Source organism: Homo sapiens, chromosome 9, assembly GCF_000001405.40.
Source record: "Homo sapiens chromosome 9, GRCh38.p14 Primary Assembly".
Lineage (NCBI taxonomy): Eukaryota > Metazoa > Chordata > Mammalia > Primates > Hominidae > Homo > Homo sapiens.
Genome location: NC_000009.12, coordinates 34,086,138 through 34,105,412, shown reverse-complemented (window position 1 = coordinate 34,105,412; position 19,275 = coordinate 34,086,138). Strand labels below are relative to the sequence as shown.

The following is a 19,275-nucleotide window of genomic DNA, read 5'->3' as shown; positions in this document are numbered from 1 at the left end:
GCTCTGTCACCCAGGCTGGAGTGCAGTGGCACCATCATGGCTCACTGCAGCCTTGAACTCCTGGGCTCAAGCTATCCTCCTGCCTCAGCCTCCCAAAGTGTTTAGATTATACAGGCATGAGCCACTGCACCCAGCCTTAGTATGATTTTTTTTTTTTTTTGAGACAGAGTCTCACTCTGTCTTCCAGGCTGGAGTGCAGTAGCACGACCTCGGCTCACCACAACCTCCGCTTCCCAGGTTCGAGCGATTCCCCTGCTTCAGCCTCCTGAGTAGCTGGGATTACAGGTGCCCACCACCACGCCAGGCTAATTTTTCTATTTTTGGTAGAGATGGGGTTTCACCATATTGGCCAGGCTGGTCTCAAACTCCTGACCTCAGTGATTCGCCTGCCTCGGCCTCCCAAAATTGGCCCATATTTTTTAGTTGGTTAATATGAGATCATTTAGAAGATGCATATATAGAATTCTTTGTGAAATTCTTTCTTTTTTTTTTTTGGAGACGGAGTCTTGCTGTGTTGCCCAGGCTAAAGTGCAATGGTGCAATCTTGGCTCACTGCAACCTCCGCCTCCTGGGTTCAAGCACTTCTCCCTGCCTCAGCCTCCTGAGTAGCTGGGATTACAGGTGCCCACCACCACGCCTGGCTAATTTTTGTATTTTTTAGTAGAGATGGGGTTTTGCCATGTTGGCCAGGCTGGTCTTGAATGCAGGACCTCAGTTGATCCACCTGCCTCGGCCTCCTAAAATGCTGGGATTACAGGCATGAGCCACTGCACCTGGCCTCATTTTTTTACACTTTAAAATTTTCATAATAAAACTTTGATGGGGTAAATGAGGTCACACTGTACACAAAGTAATCTTCTGAAACACAGTTATCTAATTTTCTCACTCTGATGCTCAAATCTTTGAGAGACTTTCTAGTATCTGTAAGATGAGAAACAAATTTTATAGCACAGCATACAAGGCCCACACCTATCTTTCCAACTTTCTCTCTCATAGCTTCCATGCTTGCACCCCATAATCCAGCATTAACAAACCATGTCTAGTTCTCCAGATGTGCCCTTGTCTCTGTGGCCTTTTCTAATTTCACATAATTAACATTCTACTTTGAATTGATGTGTCTGTCATTTTAGATGTTTTTTTCTTTTTTTTTAATTTTTGAGACAGAGTCTCGCTCTGTCGCCCAGGCTGGAGTGCATCTTGGCTCACTGCAACCTCAGCCTCCCAGGTTCAAACACTTCTCTTGCCTCGGCCTCCCAAGTAGCTGGGACTACAGGTGCGTGCCACTGTGCCTAATTTTTGTATTTTTGGTAGAGACAGGGTTTCACCATGTTGGCCAGGCTGGTCTCAAACTCCTGACTTCAAGTGATCTGCCTGCATCGGCCTCCCAAAGTGCTGGAATTTCAGGCGTGAGCCACTGCGCCTGGCCTAGATGTTTTTTTCTATGAAGTGTTCAGGAGATTAGCAGTGTGGGAAGGGCACCTTCTTGGTCTCAAAGGAGAACTGGCAAATAAGTTTACTGGAAAAAGAATTTTAAAACACATTTTCGTTGTTGTTGTTACTGTTGTTGTTGTTGAGACAGGGTCTCACTCTGTTATGTAGGCTGGAGTGCAGCGTGTGATTATTGCTCACTGCAACCTCGAACTCCCAGGATTAAGAGATCCCCTCAAGTAGCTGGGACTACAGGCACACACCACCACACCCGGTTAATTATTTCTATTTTTTATAGAGACTGGGTCTCGCTTTGTTGCCCAGGCTGCTGTCAAACTCCTAGGCTCAAGCGATCCTCCCACTTGAGCCTCTCGAAGTGCTGGGATTACAGGCATGAGCCACTATGCCCGGCCTAAAACATAATTTCTTGATACTCTGTTTTATGGATATAATATAACCCTATTGTTGAACATACTGAGTGTTCCGAATAAACAACTTTGTGTATGGGTATTGTGATAGTGGATTGTTTCTGAATGGGAATATAAACTTACTTTTTATTTTTGTTTCTTTTTTTTTTTTGAGATGGAGTCCTCCTCTGTCGCCCAGCTGGAGTGCAGTGGCCATGTCTTAGCTCACTGCAACCTCCGCCTCCCAGGTTCAAGCGATTCTCCTGCCTCAGCCTTCTGAGTAGCTGGGACTACAGGCGCGTGCCACCACGCCGGGCTGGTTTGTCTTTTTAGTAGAGATGGCTTACAACATGTTGGCCAGGTTGGTCTTGAACTCCTGACCTCGTGATCCACCTGCCTCGGCCTCCTAAAGTGCCGGGATTACAGGCATGAGCCACTGCGCCCAGCTGTTGTTTCTCTTTTTTTTTTTTTTTTTTTTTTTTGGAGTTAAGGTCTCGCCCTGTCACCCAGGATGGAATGCAGTGGCGTGATGTGATCATGGCTCACTGCAGCCTTGACCTCCCAGTCTCAAACAATCCTCCTGTCTCAGCACCCCACCCCTGTCCCTGAGTAGCTGGGACTACAGGCATGTGCCACCATGCCTGGCTAGTTTTTTGTATTTTTTTGTACTGATGGTGTTTCAACATTTTGCCCAGGCTGGTCTCAACGTCCTGGCCTCAAGCGACCTGCCTGCCTAAGCCTCCCAAAGTGTTGCGATTACAGTCGTGAGCCACTGCGCCCAGCCAGGAATATAACATTTCCTTGCTGCAGGTTGCTCAGTTGTCCTCTAGAAAGATACCATTTTAGCTTGCCACCAACAGTATATTCAGGGCTCAATTCACAGAAAAGTGTTCTTGTTTTTTGTTGTTGTTTGTTTGTGTGTTTGTTTTGAGATGGAGTCTCTGTCATCCAGGCTGGAGTGCAGTGGTGTGATCTCGGCTCACTGCAACCTCCGTCTCCTGGGTTCAAGCAATTCTCCTGCCTCAGCCTCCTAAGTATCTGGGATTACAGGCACACGCCCTACTAATTTTTGTATTTTTAGTAGAGACAGGGTTTCACCATGTTGGTCAGGTCGGTCTCAAACTCCTGACCTCGTTATCTGCCTGCCTCAGCCTCCCAAAGTTCTGGGGTTACAGGCGTGAGCCACCGTGCCCGGCCTGGGTTTTTAAGTGCTTTATTATTGTTTGCTAAGAAAACTGATTTATCTTTTTAAGCATTCATTTTATATAAAACAGTCATTATTCTTTTTTTTTTTGGAGGCAGGGTCTTACTCTGTTGCCCAGACTGTTGGTGTGATCCCAGCTCACTGCACCCTTGACCTCTCCAGGCTCCAGTGACCCTCCCACCTCAGCCTCCCGGGTAGCTGGTACCACAGGTTTGCGCCACCATGCCTGGCTAATTTTGTATTTTTTGTAGAGACAGGGTTTTGCCATGTTACCCGGTCTCCCAGAGTGCTGGGATTAAAGGCATATACCACTGTACCCAGCCTAGAATAGTCGTCATTATTATCTTTTTTTTTTTTTTGCGACAGGGTCTCACTCTGTCACCCAGGTTGGAGTCTGTGGCACAATTTCAGCTCACTGCAACTTCTACTTCCCAGGCTCAAGCTATCCTCCCAGCTCAGCCTCCTGAGTAGCTGGGACCACAGGCGTGCCCCACCACGCCTGGCTAATTTTTTGTATTTTTGGTAGAGATGGGGTTTCGCCATGTTGCTCAGGCTGGTCTCAAACTCTTGAGCTCAGGCGGTCCACCTACCTCAGCCTCCCAAGTTGCTGGGATTACAGGTGTGAGCAGTAATTCTTAATAAAGAACGGTCTAGAACAGTCATTCTTAATAGAAGGATTGTGGGCCGGGCACAGTGGCTCATGCCTGTAATCCTTGCACTTTGGGAGGCTGAGGAGGGTGGATCACCTGAGGTCAGGAGTTCAAGACCAGCCTGAACAACATAGAGAAACCCCGTCTCTACTAAAAATACAAAATTAGCCGGGCATGGTGGCACATGCCTGTAATCCCAGCTACTCGGAAGGCTGAGGTAGGAGAATCACTTGAACCCAGTAAGCAGAGGTTGCGGTGAGCCAAGATCGTGCCATTGCATTCTAGCCTGGGCAATAAGAGTGAAACTCTGTCCCACCACCAAAATAAATAAATAAATAATAAAGGAATTATGGCCGGGCACAGTGGCTTACACTTGTAGTCCCAGTATTTCGAGAGACTGAAGCAGGAGTTTGAGGTCAGGAGTCCAAGACCAGCCTGGGTAACATAGTGAGACCCCATTTCTACAAAAAAATGAAAATAAAAAATTACCTGGGCATGAGGATACATGCCTGTAGACCCAGCTACTTGGGAGGCTGGGGCAGGAGAATTGCTGAAGCCCAGGAGGTTGAGGCTACAATGAGCCATAATCATGTTATTGCACTCCAGCTTGGGTGACAGAGCCAGAACCTGTCTCATTTAAAAAAAAAAAAAAAAAAAAAGTTGGGGAGGGTTTGTGGTCCCTGTGGGTTCATGGAAAGCCCATGGATTTCAGGAAATCCATGGGTCTCCCTGAAATTGAATGTAAAATGTGGTGTTTTGTGTAATTTTCTAGAAAAAGAGGCCTAGTCTGGGTATGGTGGCTCATGCCTTTAATCCTAGCACTTTGAGAGGCTGAGGTATGAGGATCACTTGAGGCCAGGGGTTCAAGACTAGCCTTGGCAACAAATCGAGACTCCATCTCTACAAAAAAAATTAAAAAAATAAGGCTAGGCTTGGTGGCTCATACCTGTAATCCCAGCACTTTGACAGGATGAGGCAGCTGGATCACTTGAGCCCAGGTGTTTAAGACAATGCTGGGCAATATGACAAAACCCTGTCTATAAAAAAAAAAAAATGCAAAAATTAGCCAGGTGTGGTAGGGTGTGCCTGTAGTCACAGCTACTCAGGAGGCTGAGGTGAGAGGATCACTTGTGCTCAGGAGGTGGAGGTTGGGATGAGCTGAGATTGCACCACTCCACTCCAGCCTGGGCAACAGAGTGAGGCCTTGTATTAAAAAAAAAAAAAGAAGCTGGGCGTGGTGTCTCACTCCTGTAATCCCAGCACTTTGGGAGGCCGAGGCAGGTGGATCACGAGGTCAGGAGATCAAGACCATCCTGGCTAACACAGTGAAACCCCGTCTCTACTAAAAATACAAAAAATTAGCCAGGCGTGGTGACGGGCCTCTGTAGTCCCAGCTACTCAGGAGGCTGAGGCAGGAGAATGGCGTGAACCCAGGAGGCGGAGCTTGCAGTGAGCCAAGATCGCACCACTGCACTCCAGCCTGGGCGACAGTGTGAGACTCCATCTCAAAAAAAAAAAAAAAAAAGCCAGTCATGGGGGTGCATACCTGTTGTATTAGCTACTCAGGAGGCTGAGGCAGGAGGATCACTTAGGCCCAGGAAGTTGAGCCTGCAGTGAGCTATGATTGTGCCACTATTGCCCTGTCTACCCTGGGCCCCAAAGTGAGACCCTGTCTCTAAAAAAAGAGAGACATAAGGGGGTCCAAGGCTCAAAAAAGGTTAAGTACCACTGCTCTAGAGGGGAGGATTCCCAAGCCCTACTGCCCACTAAAAGTCAGCTGTGGATGCATGCCAAGAGACCTAAACATTTGGCATAGAAAATTACTAAGCTTTGGCCAGGTGCACTGGCTTATGCCTGTAATCCCAGCACTTTGGGAGGTTGAGGCGGGTGGATCATGAGGTCAGGAGTTCGACACCAGCCTGGCCAACATGGTGAAACGCCGTCTCTACTAAAAATACAAAAATTAGCCGGGCATGGTGACGTGTGCCTGTAGTCCCAACTGCTCGGGAGGCTGAGGCAGGAGAATCGCTTGAACCCGGGAGGTGGTGGTTGCAGTGAGCCGAGATCATGCCATTGCACTCCAGCCTGGGTAACACAGAGAGACTTCATCTCCAAAAAAAGGGAAAAAAAAGAAAAATAAAAAAGAAAATTAGCTTTATCAAAATGTATAAAATTCTCGTTAAAGAATTTCGAGTAAGGCGCGGTGGCTCATGCCTGTAATCCCAGAACGTTGAGAGGCTGAGGCAGGTGGATCACTTGAGGTCAGGAGTTCGAGGCCAGCCTGGCCAATATGGTGAAACCCAATCTCTACTAAAAATACAAAAATTAACTGGGCGTGGTGGCACGCGCCTGTAGTCCCAGCTACAGGCTGGGGCAGGAGAATCGCTTGAACCTGGGAGGCGGAGGTTGCAGTGAGCCAAGATTGCGCCATTGCACTCCAGCCTAGGCATCACAGCAAGACTCCATCTCAAAAATAAAAATAAAAAGAATTAGCAGGGCATGGTAGCATGCGCCTGTGATCTCAGCTACTTGGGAGGCTGAGGCAGGAGAATCGCTAGAACCCAGGAGGCCGAGGTTGCAGTGAGCCAAGATCGTGCCACTGCACTCCAGCCTGGGTGATAGAGCGAGACTCTGTCTCAAAAAAAAAAAAAGCAGACCAGGTGTGGTGGCTCACACCTGTAATCCTAGCACTTTGGGAGGCCAAGGCAGGCTGATCGCTGGAACTCAGGAGTTCAAGACCAGCTTGGGCAACATGGTAAAACCCCGTCTCTACTAAAAATACAAAAAAAATAGCCAGGCATGGAGCAGGCACCTGTAATCCCAGCTACTTGGGAGGGTGAGGCACGGGAATCGCTTGAACCCAGGAGATGGAGGTTGCAGTGAGCTGAGATCGCACCACTGCACTCCAGCCTGGGTGACAAAGCGAGACTCTGTCTCAAAAAAAAATAATAATAATAAATAAATTTCAACAACCATGTCAAACTTAAAAGTTATATTTTAATGCCTAGACCTTAGGTGAATAATTCTCTTAGTGTAGCTATTAAAATGCCTACTGCTCTGTGTTTAGGGTGGGCCATCTGGCCAAGCTTCAGCACATATGAGGATGATGCACAAACAGCTAGACTATGAAAGCCCTCTTTGGCGTCTGTGGGATTTCCCATAGAGGGGTGGGTACATCTGACATCTGTGTTCTCCTGGCCCTGCAGGCTCACGTGATGGTTCTATGGGACTCTGGGAGGTGACAGATGATGTTTTGACCAAAAGTGATGCGAGACACAATGTGTCACGGGTCCCTGTGTATGCACACATCACTCACAAGGCCTTAAAGGACATCCCCAAAGAAGACACAAACCCTGACAACTGCAAGGTTCGGGCTCTGGCCTTCAACAACAAGAACAAGGTATGAACTTGTGTAGGGATCCCTGACGTGTATTCCTCTTGCTTATGTCTTGGGATATGCACTCCTTTTTCCTTCCCCATCAGTGCTTGCTACATAGCATGGTTCTGAGCCCACAGAACACCTCTTAAAGGCTGAGTGATGCTGGTGAGAAATTATAACTGAGGCTCTGAAACCCACCCCTTCAATTGGTGTCTGCAGTATTTCTCTGAGTAGTCTATATTTGTGGGTCAGCCTCACAGAATTCCCCTAGGGCCACCCTGATTTGACTGTCTGTCATTTGCACATGCCTTTGCAGGTGCTGTATTCTGGGCATGATTTTCATACTTGCTTCTGAAAACAATCACTTTTTTTCTCTTTGGTATTCATTCCTTTTTTTTTTTTTTTCTTTTTGAGACTGTGTTTTGCTCCTGTCACCTAGGCAGGAGTGCAATGGCACGATCTCAGCTCAAAGCAACCTCCACCTTCCAGGTTCAAGCAATTCTTCTGCCTCAGATTCTCAAGTAGCTGGGACTACAGGCATGCACCGCTACACATGGCTAATTTTGTATTTTTTAGTAGAGACGGGGTTTCACCATGTTGGCCAGGCTGGTCTTGAACTCCTGACCTCAGTTGATCCACTCTCCTTGGCCTCCCAAAGTTCTGGGATTACAGGCGTGAGCCACCATGCCTGGCCAGTATTCTTTACTGCCTACTTTCCCTTCACATTTCCACTAAGTCTTACCTTATTGAGTCAGATCTGATGCTGAGGTTTTAATAAAGCAGAGTGTCACCCAGGCGCAGTGACTCACGCCTGTAATCCCTGCACTTTCGGAGGCCGAGGCAGGCAGATCACAAGGTCAGGAGTTTGAGACTAGCCTGGGCCAACATGGTAAAACCCCATGTTTACTGAAAATACAAAAAAATTAGCCAGGCATGGTGGCATATGCCTGTATTCCCAGCTACTCAGGAGGCTGAGGCAGGAAAACTATAGGAGGTGGAGGTTGGCAGTGAGCCGAAATTGCGCCACAGCACTCCAGCCTGGGTGACAGAGCAAGACTCCATCTCAAAAAAAAAAAAAAAAAAAAAAAGCAGTGTCAGAATATACACCCAGAGCCAGAGAAAGGCTTCTCCAGAATCTGAATCAGGCCACAGTTTGAAGGGTAGTTCCCTCAACCTCCTATCCCATCTGTATTTATGGCCTAAGGGTAGATTAATCTCTCCTAAATTAGAGTCTTCACTTATAGAAATTCTCACACTAGATTATGAAACTGTCCTTCACATATGTGCCCTGCTTTAACTCTCCAACAGGACGTTGAGGGAGTGATAGCATAGTGAGGAGTTTTTCAACCATGGGTGCCTGTGTTATTGCTGGCAGCCTCAATTTAATATGCCATTCAGCTAGGTTCTGTAGGGTGAAGTAATGGTCTAATAATTACTGGCACCTCTGCTGGAATCATCACGAGACAGGAATAAAGGACCCTGACCTTAGAATCCTCGCCTGCTTATTATCGTACATTAGTTGCTATAGATGATAATATAACCTGGTTTTCATTGCTCTTGTAGGAACTGGGAGCAGTGTCTCTGGATGGCTACTTTCATCTCTGGAAGGCTGAAAATACACTATCTAAGGTGTGATGAACATGATTTTGTGGTTTTACCTAATAATTCACCTTACAGTTAAAATACTGTAATTCTAGCTGAGCTTTTTTTTCATGTTTATTTTATCTATTCATTTATTTTTGAGGCAGAGTCTCGCTCTGATGCCCAGGCTGGAGTGCAGTGGTGCAATCTTGGCTCACTGCAACCTCTGCCTCCTGGGTTCAACCAGTTCTTGTGCCTCAGCCACCTGAGTAGCTGCGGGGATTACAGGCGTCTGCCAACATGCCCAGGTATTTTTTTTGTATTTTTAGTAGGAACACAGTCTCACCATGTTGGCCAGGTTGGTATTTTTATTTTTAAAGACAATAAATACAGGGTCTCACTCTGTCACCCAAGTTGGAGTGCAGTCATGGCTCATGGATCAGTGCAGCCTTGAACTCCTGGGCATAAGCGATCCTCTTGCCTCAGCCTCCCAAGTAGCTGAGACTATGGGCATGTGTCACCACACCCATCTGGTTGTTTTTTTTGTTTTGTTTTGTTTTTTTAATTTTTTGTAGAGACAGAGTCTCACTATGTTTCCCAGGCTGGTTTTGAACTCCTGACCTCAAGCGATCCTCCCACCTTGGTCTCCCGAAGTGCTGGGCATTCAGGCATGAACCATTGCACCTGGTCTCAATTCTTGTTTAAAAGACCAGTTCTCCAAAGGCCTGGGCATGTTTTTGCACAGTACATGAAATTTTGAGTCTGGTGTGCCTCTCTTGCAGGAAAGTCTTTTAAAGAGTAAGACAGGGTGATTCTTTCCTATTGCATAAGCTTCCTGAGAGGCTCCTTTGACTAGCAGTCCTCCTCAACAATGCATTTAAGTATTTCTTTATAGATTGATGACTACTTGGCATGCTGTAAGGGAAGGAAATCCTGAGTGTTAGGAACCTTTGGCAATTGAAGATCGATCAAATTAAGATAAACCATCTCTGAAATAATCATGTAAGGTAATGAGAAAATAGACTTAATTTACAATACAAATTGGTCATCCCTAATCCAGAATGCTCCAAAATCCAGTTGGGCACAATACCTTAGGCCTGTAATCCCAACACTTTGGGAGGTTGAAGCAGGAGGATTGCTTGAGCCCAGGAGTTCAAAACTAGCCTGGGCAACACAGTAAGACCCTATCTCTGCAACAAAATTTAAAAATTAGCCATACATTGTGGCATATGCCTGTAGTCCCAGCTACTGGAGGGTAGCAGTGCTGAGGCAGGAGGACCACTTGAGCTGAGGAGGTCAAGGCTGCAGTGAGCCGTAATTTTGCCACTGCACTCCAGCCTGGGTGACAGAGCGAGACCCTATCTCAAAAAAAAAAAAAAAAAAAAAAAAAAGGCCTGGCGCGGTGGTTCACGCCTATAATCCCAGCACTTTGGGAGGCCGAGGCAGGTGGATCATGAGGTCAAGAGATTGAGACCATGCTGGCCAACATGGCGAAACCCCGTCTCTACTAAAAATACAAAAATTAGCTGGGCGTGGTGGTGGGCGTCTGTAGTCCCAGATACTTGGGAGGCTGAGGCAGGAGAATCGCTTGAACCCAGGAGGCAGAGGTTGCAGTGAGCCGAGATCATGCCACTGCACTCCAGCCTGGCAACAGAGCAAGACTCTCTCTCAAAAAAAAAAGCCTCCAAAGTCCAAAACTTTTTGAGCACCAACACAATGCCACAAATGGAAAATTTCACATGGGACACCTTTGCTTTCTGACAGGTCAGTGTACCAAACATTGTTTAATGCAGAAAATTATTTAAAATATTGCATAAAATTACCTTCACTCTATGTGTATAAGATGTATATGAAACATAAATGAATTTTGTGGTTAGACTTGGGTGCCATCCCCAAGATAGCTCCTTACATATATGTAGATATTTAAAAATCGGGGCCGGGTGCGGTGGCTCACGCCTATAATCCCAGCACTTTGGGAGGCCAAGGTGGGCGGATCGCAAGGTCAGGAGATTGAGACCATCCTGGCTAACATGGTGAAACCCCGTCTCTACTAAAAATACAAAAAATTAGCCGGGCGTGGTGGTGGGCGCTTGTAGTCCCAGCTACCCGGGAAGCTGAGGCAGGAGAATGGTGTGAACCCAGGAGGTGGAGCTTGCAGTGAGCTGAGATCGCGCCACTGTACTCCAGCCTGGGCGACAGTGCGAGACTCCGTCTCAAAAAAAAAAAAAAAAAGCTGGAGAAATCCGAAATTCAAAACATTTGTAGTCACAAGCCTTTTGGATAAGGGAGATTCAACAAGCAACTTTTACATAGAGTTAAACCTACCTGTGAATCATTTGTCTTTTTTTTATTTTTTTTGAGACAGAGTCTCACTTTGTTGCCCAGGCTAGAATGCAGTGGCACGATCTCAGCTCACTGCAACCTCCGCCTCCCAGGTTCAAGTGATTCTCCTTCCTCAGCCTCCTGAGTAGCTGGGATTACAGGCATGCACCACTACCCCTAGCTAATTTTTGGTATTTTTAGTAGAGATGGCATCTCACCAGGTTGGCCAGCCTGGTCTCAAACTCCTGACCTCAGGTGATCTGCCTGCCTTAGCCTCCCAAAGTGCTGGGATTACAGACGTTAGCCACCACGCCCAGCTTTTTCTCTTCTTCTTATCCTTGAGGACTTTGCAAGAGGAAGCAGGGTTCCAGGAATTAGTGATTCCTTCATGTCACAATAGCCTTTGAGCTCCACTGACCTTGTATGCTGTCTTATGTGTTGTATGCACCCACTGAGGATTTGCTAACTGACGAAGACCCAGGGTTAAGGCTGATGTGGGTTATCTGGGATTAAGCTAGTCCCATGGGCGTGCTTTCTATAGCGTACAATTCCCATTCAGGTGGGAAGGTGAGCTGGGGGTAGCCAGAGATCAGCCTCTTTATCTGAAAAGCACTGAGGTGGCCCTTCCTGGCAGACAGAACAGAGTGGGACTATGGCTTTAGTGCCCTGGAACGATTCCCAGAAACAACCTGAATAGTTGAAACAGCCTACCAAGAAAGGCCTTGGCCTTTCCAGCTACTTCTGATTATTTATTCCAGATTTACCTTTTCCCCAACCTATCTCCTTCAGTATCTAGGTCTTACCGTTTATTAACATTCACCTCCTCTTTCTCCTGTATACCTAGGGGTGGAACAGAGTGTTATTTCTGTAATCAGGGCTTGATTTTATGTGGCTTTTATATGAGGGAAGCCCATCAAGGTGGGAGTCCAGAAACAATATCCCTGCCTTACCCTCTCTGCTGATGCCATGGTTATATCTCTCCTCTATTTTCAGCTCCTCTCCACCAAACTGCCATATTGCCGTGAGAATGTGTGTCTGGCTTATGGTAGTGAATGGTCAGTTTATGCAGTGGGCTCCCAAGCTCATGTCTCCTTCTTGGATCCACGGCAGCCATCATACAACGTCAAGTCTGTCTGTTCCAGGGAGCGAGGCAGTGGTAAGAGTCCCTGTGTGCACCTCAGGCCTACAGCTGCACTGCATATGGGTTCTGACTTTCAGTTTCTTTGTTGGTTTCCAAACAGGTATAGTGCTCTGTATGGAACATTTGGAAGTGTGTTCAAAAAGGGGAGCGATGGCTAGGCGTGGTGGCTTACGCCTGTAATCCCAGCACTTTGGGAGGCCGAGGCGGGTGGATCACCTGAGGTCGGGAGTTTGAGATCAGCCTGACCAATAAATATGGAGAAACCCCGTCTCTACTAAAAATACAAAATTAGCCGGGCGCAGTGGCGCATGCCTGTAATCCCAGCTGCTCAGGAGGCTGAGGCAGGAGAATTGCTTGAACCTGGGAGGCGGAGGTTGCGGTGAGCTGAGATCGCACCATTGCACTCCAGCCTGGGCAATGAGCGCGAAATTCTGTCTCAAAAAAAAAGGGGTGTGGGGGGAGTGACACAAAAGGGCACTAGACTTTCAAACACCACAGACAAATGTGTGGCCACAGAAGCCTTTGTTGGGAGCCACCAGTCAGGATATTAGTTAGTAGTTTCCATGTTCTTTTAGAAAGCTCTACTTTTTTTTTGTTGTTGTTGTTTTTTTTTTTTGAGACAGAGTCTCGCTCTTTTGCCAGGCTGGAGTGTAGTGGCGTGATCTCAGCTCACTGCAACCTCTGCCTTCTGAGTTCAAGTGATTCTCCTGCCTCAGCCTCGCGAGTAGGTGGGACTACAGGCACACACCACCACGCCCAGCTAATTTTTGTATTTTTAGTAGAGACGGGGTTTCACCATGTTGGCCAGGATGGCCTTGATCTCTTGACCTTGTGATCCACCCACCTCGGCCTTCCAAAGTGCTGAGATTACAGGCGTGAGCCACTGCACCTGGCCGAGAGCCCTACTTTCTATCCTGTGGTAATTTTTTTGCTGTGGTCCTGCCTGAACTAAAATTCTATTTATGCTAAGATGTGGCATGGTGGGATAAGGAGGAAGTTTACAAAGGGCATGAGGAAACCTCAGGGTAATGAGTATGTTCATTATGTAGATTGTGGTTATGATGTCATGGATATATACATATGTCAGAACCTCAAATTGTATACTTTATGTGTCGTATATTGTATGACAAACCTCAATAAGGCTGAAGAAAATACTGAGTTTAGTTCTGACCACTGAGTAAATTAAGCTTCCACCTCAAATCTTTTATAACATATTCTCTGTAAGAGCACCCTCATTCTTTATTGAAGAGGGAAAAAATACTTATTTTAGTGTACTTTGAAGGTTTCAAAATACCTTTTTCTGACATGCCATTTCATCATACCAAGAACCCTGTGGGAAGCAGATGAGAAAACATAGTTTTACATATAAGACCTAGAGCCAGCTAAATAACTTGCCCAGCATCACACAGCTTGATGGGGGAACAGCTAGGGACCAGAATCCAACTTAACAAATTGTATTTTCTTTATCTCACTTTATCCCATTTCTCGCTTTATCCCATTTCTCATGCAAAAATATGGCTGTGTTATCCTGAGAGTCCTAAAAGGCACACTGTGGATTGCAGTTCACCCTCTCTTTTTCAAGTAGTGTTTATTCCTGTGCAGATACTGCAAAGTAGCTTTTGTTTTGGGTTTTTTGTGGTTTTTTTTTTTTTTTTTTTTTTGAAGACAGGGTCCTCACTCTATCAGCCAGGCTGGAGGAAAGTGGTGCAATCTCAGTTCACTGCAGCTTTTCCACCTGCCAGGCTCAAGCAGTCCTCCCACCTCAGCCTCCCGAGTAGCTGGGACTATAAGCGTCCGCCACCTCATTCAGCTAATTTTTGTATTTTTGTAGAGACAGGTTCTCATCATGTTGCCCAGAGTTGTCTCAAACTCTTGGGACACCCACCTCAGCCTCCCAAAGTGTGTGCTAAGATTACAGGGATTACAGCCGTGAGCCACTGTGCCCAGCTATTTCTTTTTTGTTGTTGTTGTTGTTGAGATGAGTCTTGCTCTGTCACCTAGGCTGGAGTGGAGTGGTGTGATCTCAGCTCACTGCACCCTCTGCCTCCCAGGTTCAAGCGATTCTCCTGCCTTAGCCTCCTGAGTAGCTGGGACTACAGGCGCGTACCACCATGCCCAGCTAATTTTTGTGTTTTTAGTAGAGATGGAGTTTCACCATGTTGGCCAGACTGGTTTTGAACTCCTGACCTCAAGTGATCCACTCACCTTGGGCCTCCCAAAGTACTGGGATTACAGGCTTGAGCCACCACGCCTGGCCTATTTGTTCTTAATTATAGTTAAAATGCTTACATTTTAGAACAAAGAATAATGTATAATGAGAGTAGTAGAGAAAGGAATAAATAGGGCCGGGCACGGTGGCTGATGCCTGTAATCCCAGCACTTTGGGAGCCTGAGGCAGGTGGATCACCTGAGGTCAGGAGTTCGAGACCAGCCTGATCAACATGGTGAAACCCTGTCTCTACTAAAAATACAAACAAAATTAGCTGGGGGTGGTAGCGGGTGCCTGTAGTTCCAGCTACTTGGGAGGCTGAGGCAGGAGAATCACTTGAATCTGGGAGGTGGAGGTTGCAGTGAGCCAAGATTGTGCCACAGTACTCCAGCTTTGGCAACAGAGCTCAAAAAAAAAGAGAAAAGACTAAATAGGTTTGGCTCTAATAATGTATGCAATGAAAAGTTTTAAGAGATTTTTGGTACTGTTTAATGGGGGTAACTTTCATACCTAATAAGGAAATACTGGTTCCACAAATATTATCCAGTTCTTATGTGCCAAGAGACATCTTCATATCCCAAGCACTGATTTGATCCCCAAGTACAGCAGATGTGTTTTCCTTGTGATCTAAAGTAATTACATGACTTGTCTTAAACATCTTTGGGTATTTAAGTTCTGGGCTTTTTGCCACTCTCAAAACACCTAATACTAGATAAAGACTTCTTGCATTGTGGCCGGGCACAGTGGCTCATGCCTATAATCCCAGCACTTTGGGAGGCCAAGGTGGATCACTTGAGGTCAGGAGTTCAAGACCAGCCTGGCCAACATGGTGAAACCCTGTCTCTCCTGAAAATGCAAGAATTAGCTGAGTGTGATGGCAGGAGCCTGTAATCCCAGCTACTTGGGAGGCTAAGGCAGGAGAATCGCTTGAACCCGGAAGGCAGAGGTTGCAGCGAGCCAAGATCGCGCCATTGCACTCCAGCCTGGGCGACAGAGCGAGACTCCATCTCAAAAAATAAAAAAAGACTTCTTGCATTTGCCACAGTAGTGGTTTTAGGTGAAATATAAGGAATCGTTGATGACTTAATGATTTATAAATATGCAGATTACCTTGAGTTGCAGTGTAGGTTGGAAACATATGATGGAGAAAAGCTTAGAGTTATGAAAGATGATCCCAGAGTGAGTTGAGAGGAAGCAAGGAAGTTCTCAGCACTTATGGTCTTCGGCCAAAAGCATCTTGAGCATCATCGGGAATCTGACACTTTTCCAAGGCTTCTTGGATGGTTTCTGTCAGTGTGTGGATAGGCAGGATGGCATCAGGATTCTCTTTGCTTTTGCATGAGCTAACTTGCCATTGGGAAAACACTGTCTGATACTTTGTGGGGCGGGTGGAGGGGAGCAGGGTGGACGTTGAAAACTCAGTGTTGGAGAAATTCAGGCTAGCAGACAGTCAGCAAATATTCTCTCCCGCCTCACTGCCTTTTACTTTTCTGTCTTTCAGGAATCCGGTCAGTGAGTTTCTACGAGCACATCATCACTGTGGGAACAGGGCAGGGCTCCCTGCTGTTCTATGACATCCGAGCTCAGAGATTTCTGGAAGAGAGGCTCTCAGCTTGTTATGGGTCCAAGCCCAGACTAGCAGGGGAGAATCTGAAACTAACCACTGGCAAAGGCTGGCTGGTGCGTAAGCCCCTACCTGAGATGACTGCTACACAGTAACAGAAAAATTATCTTCCTCTATCTCTCAGCCCCCACTGACACACCATCTACTCATACTTTTTCACTAGTAAGAGGCACTCATTGGAACAGGAAAAGACTTCCCCCGATTTTGCTTTTATGTCTGCACGTTGCCTGTGGGAAAACTGAGGCCCAGTAAAACACACTGGTTGACTTAGGATTTTCCCCAAGGTGTAATAGAGCAAGAAGGATAAGGGACCTCCCACCACAGCTGTCAGTGAATTTTTTTTTTTTTTTTTTTTTTGAGACAGGGTCACTCTGTTGCCCAGGCTGGAGTGTAGTGGTGTGATCATAGCTTACTGTATGTAGCCTTGAACTCCTGGGCTCAAGCAGTCCTCCTGCCTCAGCCTCCCAAGTAGCTGGGACCACAGGCATATGCACTGTGCCCGGCTAATTTATTTTTTTTTAGTAGAGATGGGGTCTCGCCATGTTGCCCAGGCTGGTCTCAAACTCCTGGGCTCAAGTGATTCTCTCACCTTGGCCTCCTAAAATTCTGGGATTACAGCCATGAACCACTGCGCCCCACCTCCAGTGAATTATTCAAGTGTTTGGTTCTTCCTCCTGTGCCTAGCAGGTGGAGGGAAAACAGAACTTTGGTTCTAAGTCTCCTGAGAAGAACTGAGCCTTGTATAGCAATTCTTCAGCTGCTCCGTTCTTCTCTAACGTTTAGTTGGAAAAATGAGGCCCTGATTCCCATGAGAACCAACCAGCCAATCTCCTGACATGAGGTTGTACCTGTAGAACCCTGTTCCCTTAAGGAGACCAGAAAGCATTCCTGTCCCTTCCTCCCCCTTTTCCTGCCCCATGGCTAGAGGTGCTAATTGTAGTCTCTTTCTCTTCCCGTAGAATCATGATGAAACCTGGAGGAATTACTTTTCAGACATTGACTTCTTCCCCAATGCTGTTTACACCCACTGCTACGACTCGTCTGGAACGAAACTCTTTGTGGCAGGAGGTCCCCTCCCTTCAGGGCTCCATGGAAACTATGCTGGGCTCTGGAGTTAATGACAACTCCCCAAATGCAGAGATTTACACTAACTTCCATTCTCAGTTTCCTTGTTTCTTTTGATTTTTTTTTTCCTAATTGTGTGAGGCTCTTGTGTTTTAGTGGGAACACCAAAGTTTGCCTATAGTTTAGGCACTTAATAGGAAGAAGCTCTGTACAGAAATCTGAAAGTTGTTTTGCTTTTTGTTTTCCCCTTTGGTAATCAAAATTTTACTATCTTTTATTATTTCTGGCTTTTCAACCAAACATTGTTGCTAATCCCTATTTTTCTTTAAGTGACACACATTCTCCTGTCTCTGGCTTCTTCAGGCTGAAATGACATAGCTCACCCTTACTTCACTCTTGAGAGGTAGGGCTCCTTTATAATTACATGGTTGCTCTCAGACTTTCTGTGAAAGTTTGGGAGCTGTGTGTGTCTGTGTGTGTGTGAGAGAGAGATCTTGTCTGCGTGTGTGTGTGTGATCTTGTGTGCCTGTAGGTACTGTGTGTCACTGAAATTACCTGGAGTGAGGATTACTTGTAATTAAAATATTTATAAAAGAAACAACTTTATTCACAGAGTCCAGCTTTGGGACTAGTCTGTATCTTGTTTTTTAAGTCTAACAACACTGATAATAGGAAGTAAAAACAGAAAGGAAAAGAAATTACCACTGGGAAAATCTTTTTAGTTAGATTGTAGGCTTCCTGGGGCCTCCCATGCCAGGACTGCAAAGTGATCCAGCCCTACCTGTCTTCCCACCTGTGTGTCCCCCGTGTGGGAAGTTGGTGTCACTTCCCCTTCCCACCCTCACATCTGCTTAGCCAGTAGCCACACCCCTAAAACATCAGACTCACCATCCAGGTGCAGCTCCAGAGGCTACAAAAGGCTTCATGGGACTTGAATCCCCATCCTAGCTTCTCTCTCCTTCCCCTCAAGACCTGATCTGGTTTTAAGGGGCCTGGAGCTGGGAGTCTCAAGTCTGCTAAGATTCACATCCATAGCCCCCATGGCTTTGAGGAGAATCCTCTCTGCCATTCTTCCAATCTCCCCAGTGGGTTTTGCTATTATTTTCTAAATTGGGTTAAGTCTAAGAAGGTGGGGGTGAGCAGGGGGTTTATCTGTGTGTAGTGAGTGCTTCATGTGTGGAATATTCATTTTCTTACTGCAGTGGGACTTGGGGTTGAAGCCACCCCTCCTACTCTGTTGGCTTAGCCCTGAGATGGTGACAGGCTGGCCTGCAGTCAGCATCATTGTGCATGTGACAGCATCAATGTGATTAGTAATTTGTCTGTTCCTCCCTTGAACTGTCTGTTTAGTCTGAGGTTTTTAAACTTGCAGGCAGCTGACTGTGATGTCCACTTGTTCCCTGATTTTTACACATCATGTCAAAGATAACAGCTGTTCCCACCCACCAGTTCCTCTAAGCACATACTCTGCTTTTCTGTCAACATCCCATTTTGGGGAAAGGAAAAGTCATATTTATTCCTGCACCCCAGTTTTTTAACTTGTTCTCCCAGTTGTCCCCCTCTTCTCTGGGTGTAAGAAGGGAAATTGGAAAAAAAATTATATATATATTCTCCTTTTAATGGTGGGGGGCTACTGGAGAGGAGAGACAGCAAGTCCACCCTAACTTGTTACACAGCACATACCACAGGTTCTGGAATTCTCATCTTCGAACCTAGAGAAATAGGTGCTATAAACAGGGAATTAAGCAAAATGCTGGATGCTATAGATCTTTTAATTGTCTTAATTTTTTTTCTATTATTAAACTACAGGCTGTAGATTTCTTAGTTCTCACAGAACTTCTATCATTTTAAACTGACTTGTATATTTAAAAAAAAAATCTTCAGTAGGATGTTTTGTACTATTGCTAGACCCTCTTCTGTAATGGGTAATGCGTTTGATTGTTTGAGATTTTCTGTTTTTAAAAATGTAGCACTTGACTTTTTGCCAAGGAAAAAAATAAAAATTATTCCAGTGCACAATGGTGTGAGTGAGTATTGTGTAGCCAGGAGCCTGCCAAAAAGGCCCCACATGACTAGTTGGAAGGTTGGCTTGAGCTGTTGGGATTGCTTGTGGCAGAAGGGGAACACAAGCCATTACCTCCAGGTTAGAGGCAGGTCAAGTGCAGGCACAAATACTAAGACCTGCTTGCTCTGGGTCCCCAACTCTAGCCCAAGATGAGTTGCTCTGAGGTCCAGCTGAGGGTGGATATGCCCAGGGTACTGAAG

The 19,275-nt window shown here is 46.2% G+C and overlaps 1 protein-coding gene across 1 annotated transcript in view; it reads left to right on the top strand.

The window, feature by feature from the left end:
- Window positions 1–19,026, top strand: part of DCAF12 (DDB1 and CUL4 associated factor 12) — a 40,312-nt gene extending 21,286 nt beyond the window's left edge. The window contains exons 5-9 of the mRNA NM_015397.4: window positions 6,896–7,089; window positions 8,632–8,697; window positions 11,965–12,127; window positions 15,823–16,001; window positions 16,905–19,026. Of these exons, the coding sequence (NP_056212.1) occupies window positions 6,896–7,089; window positions 8,632–8,697; window positions 11,965–12,127; window positions 15,823–16,001; window positions 16,905–17,063 (761 nt within the window). The 3' untranslated portion in view covers window positions 17,064–19,026. The remainder of the gene's footprint in view (window positions 1–6,895; window positions 7,090–8,631; window positions 8,698–11,964; window positions 12,128–15,822; window positions 16,002–16,904) is intronic.
- Window positions 19,027–19,275: the final 249 nt, after the last annotated feature.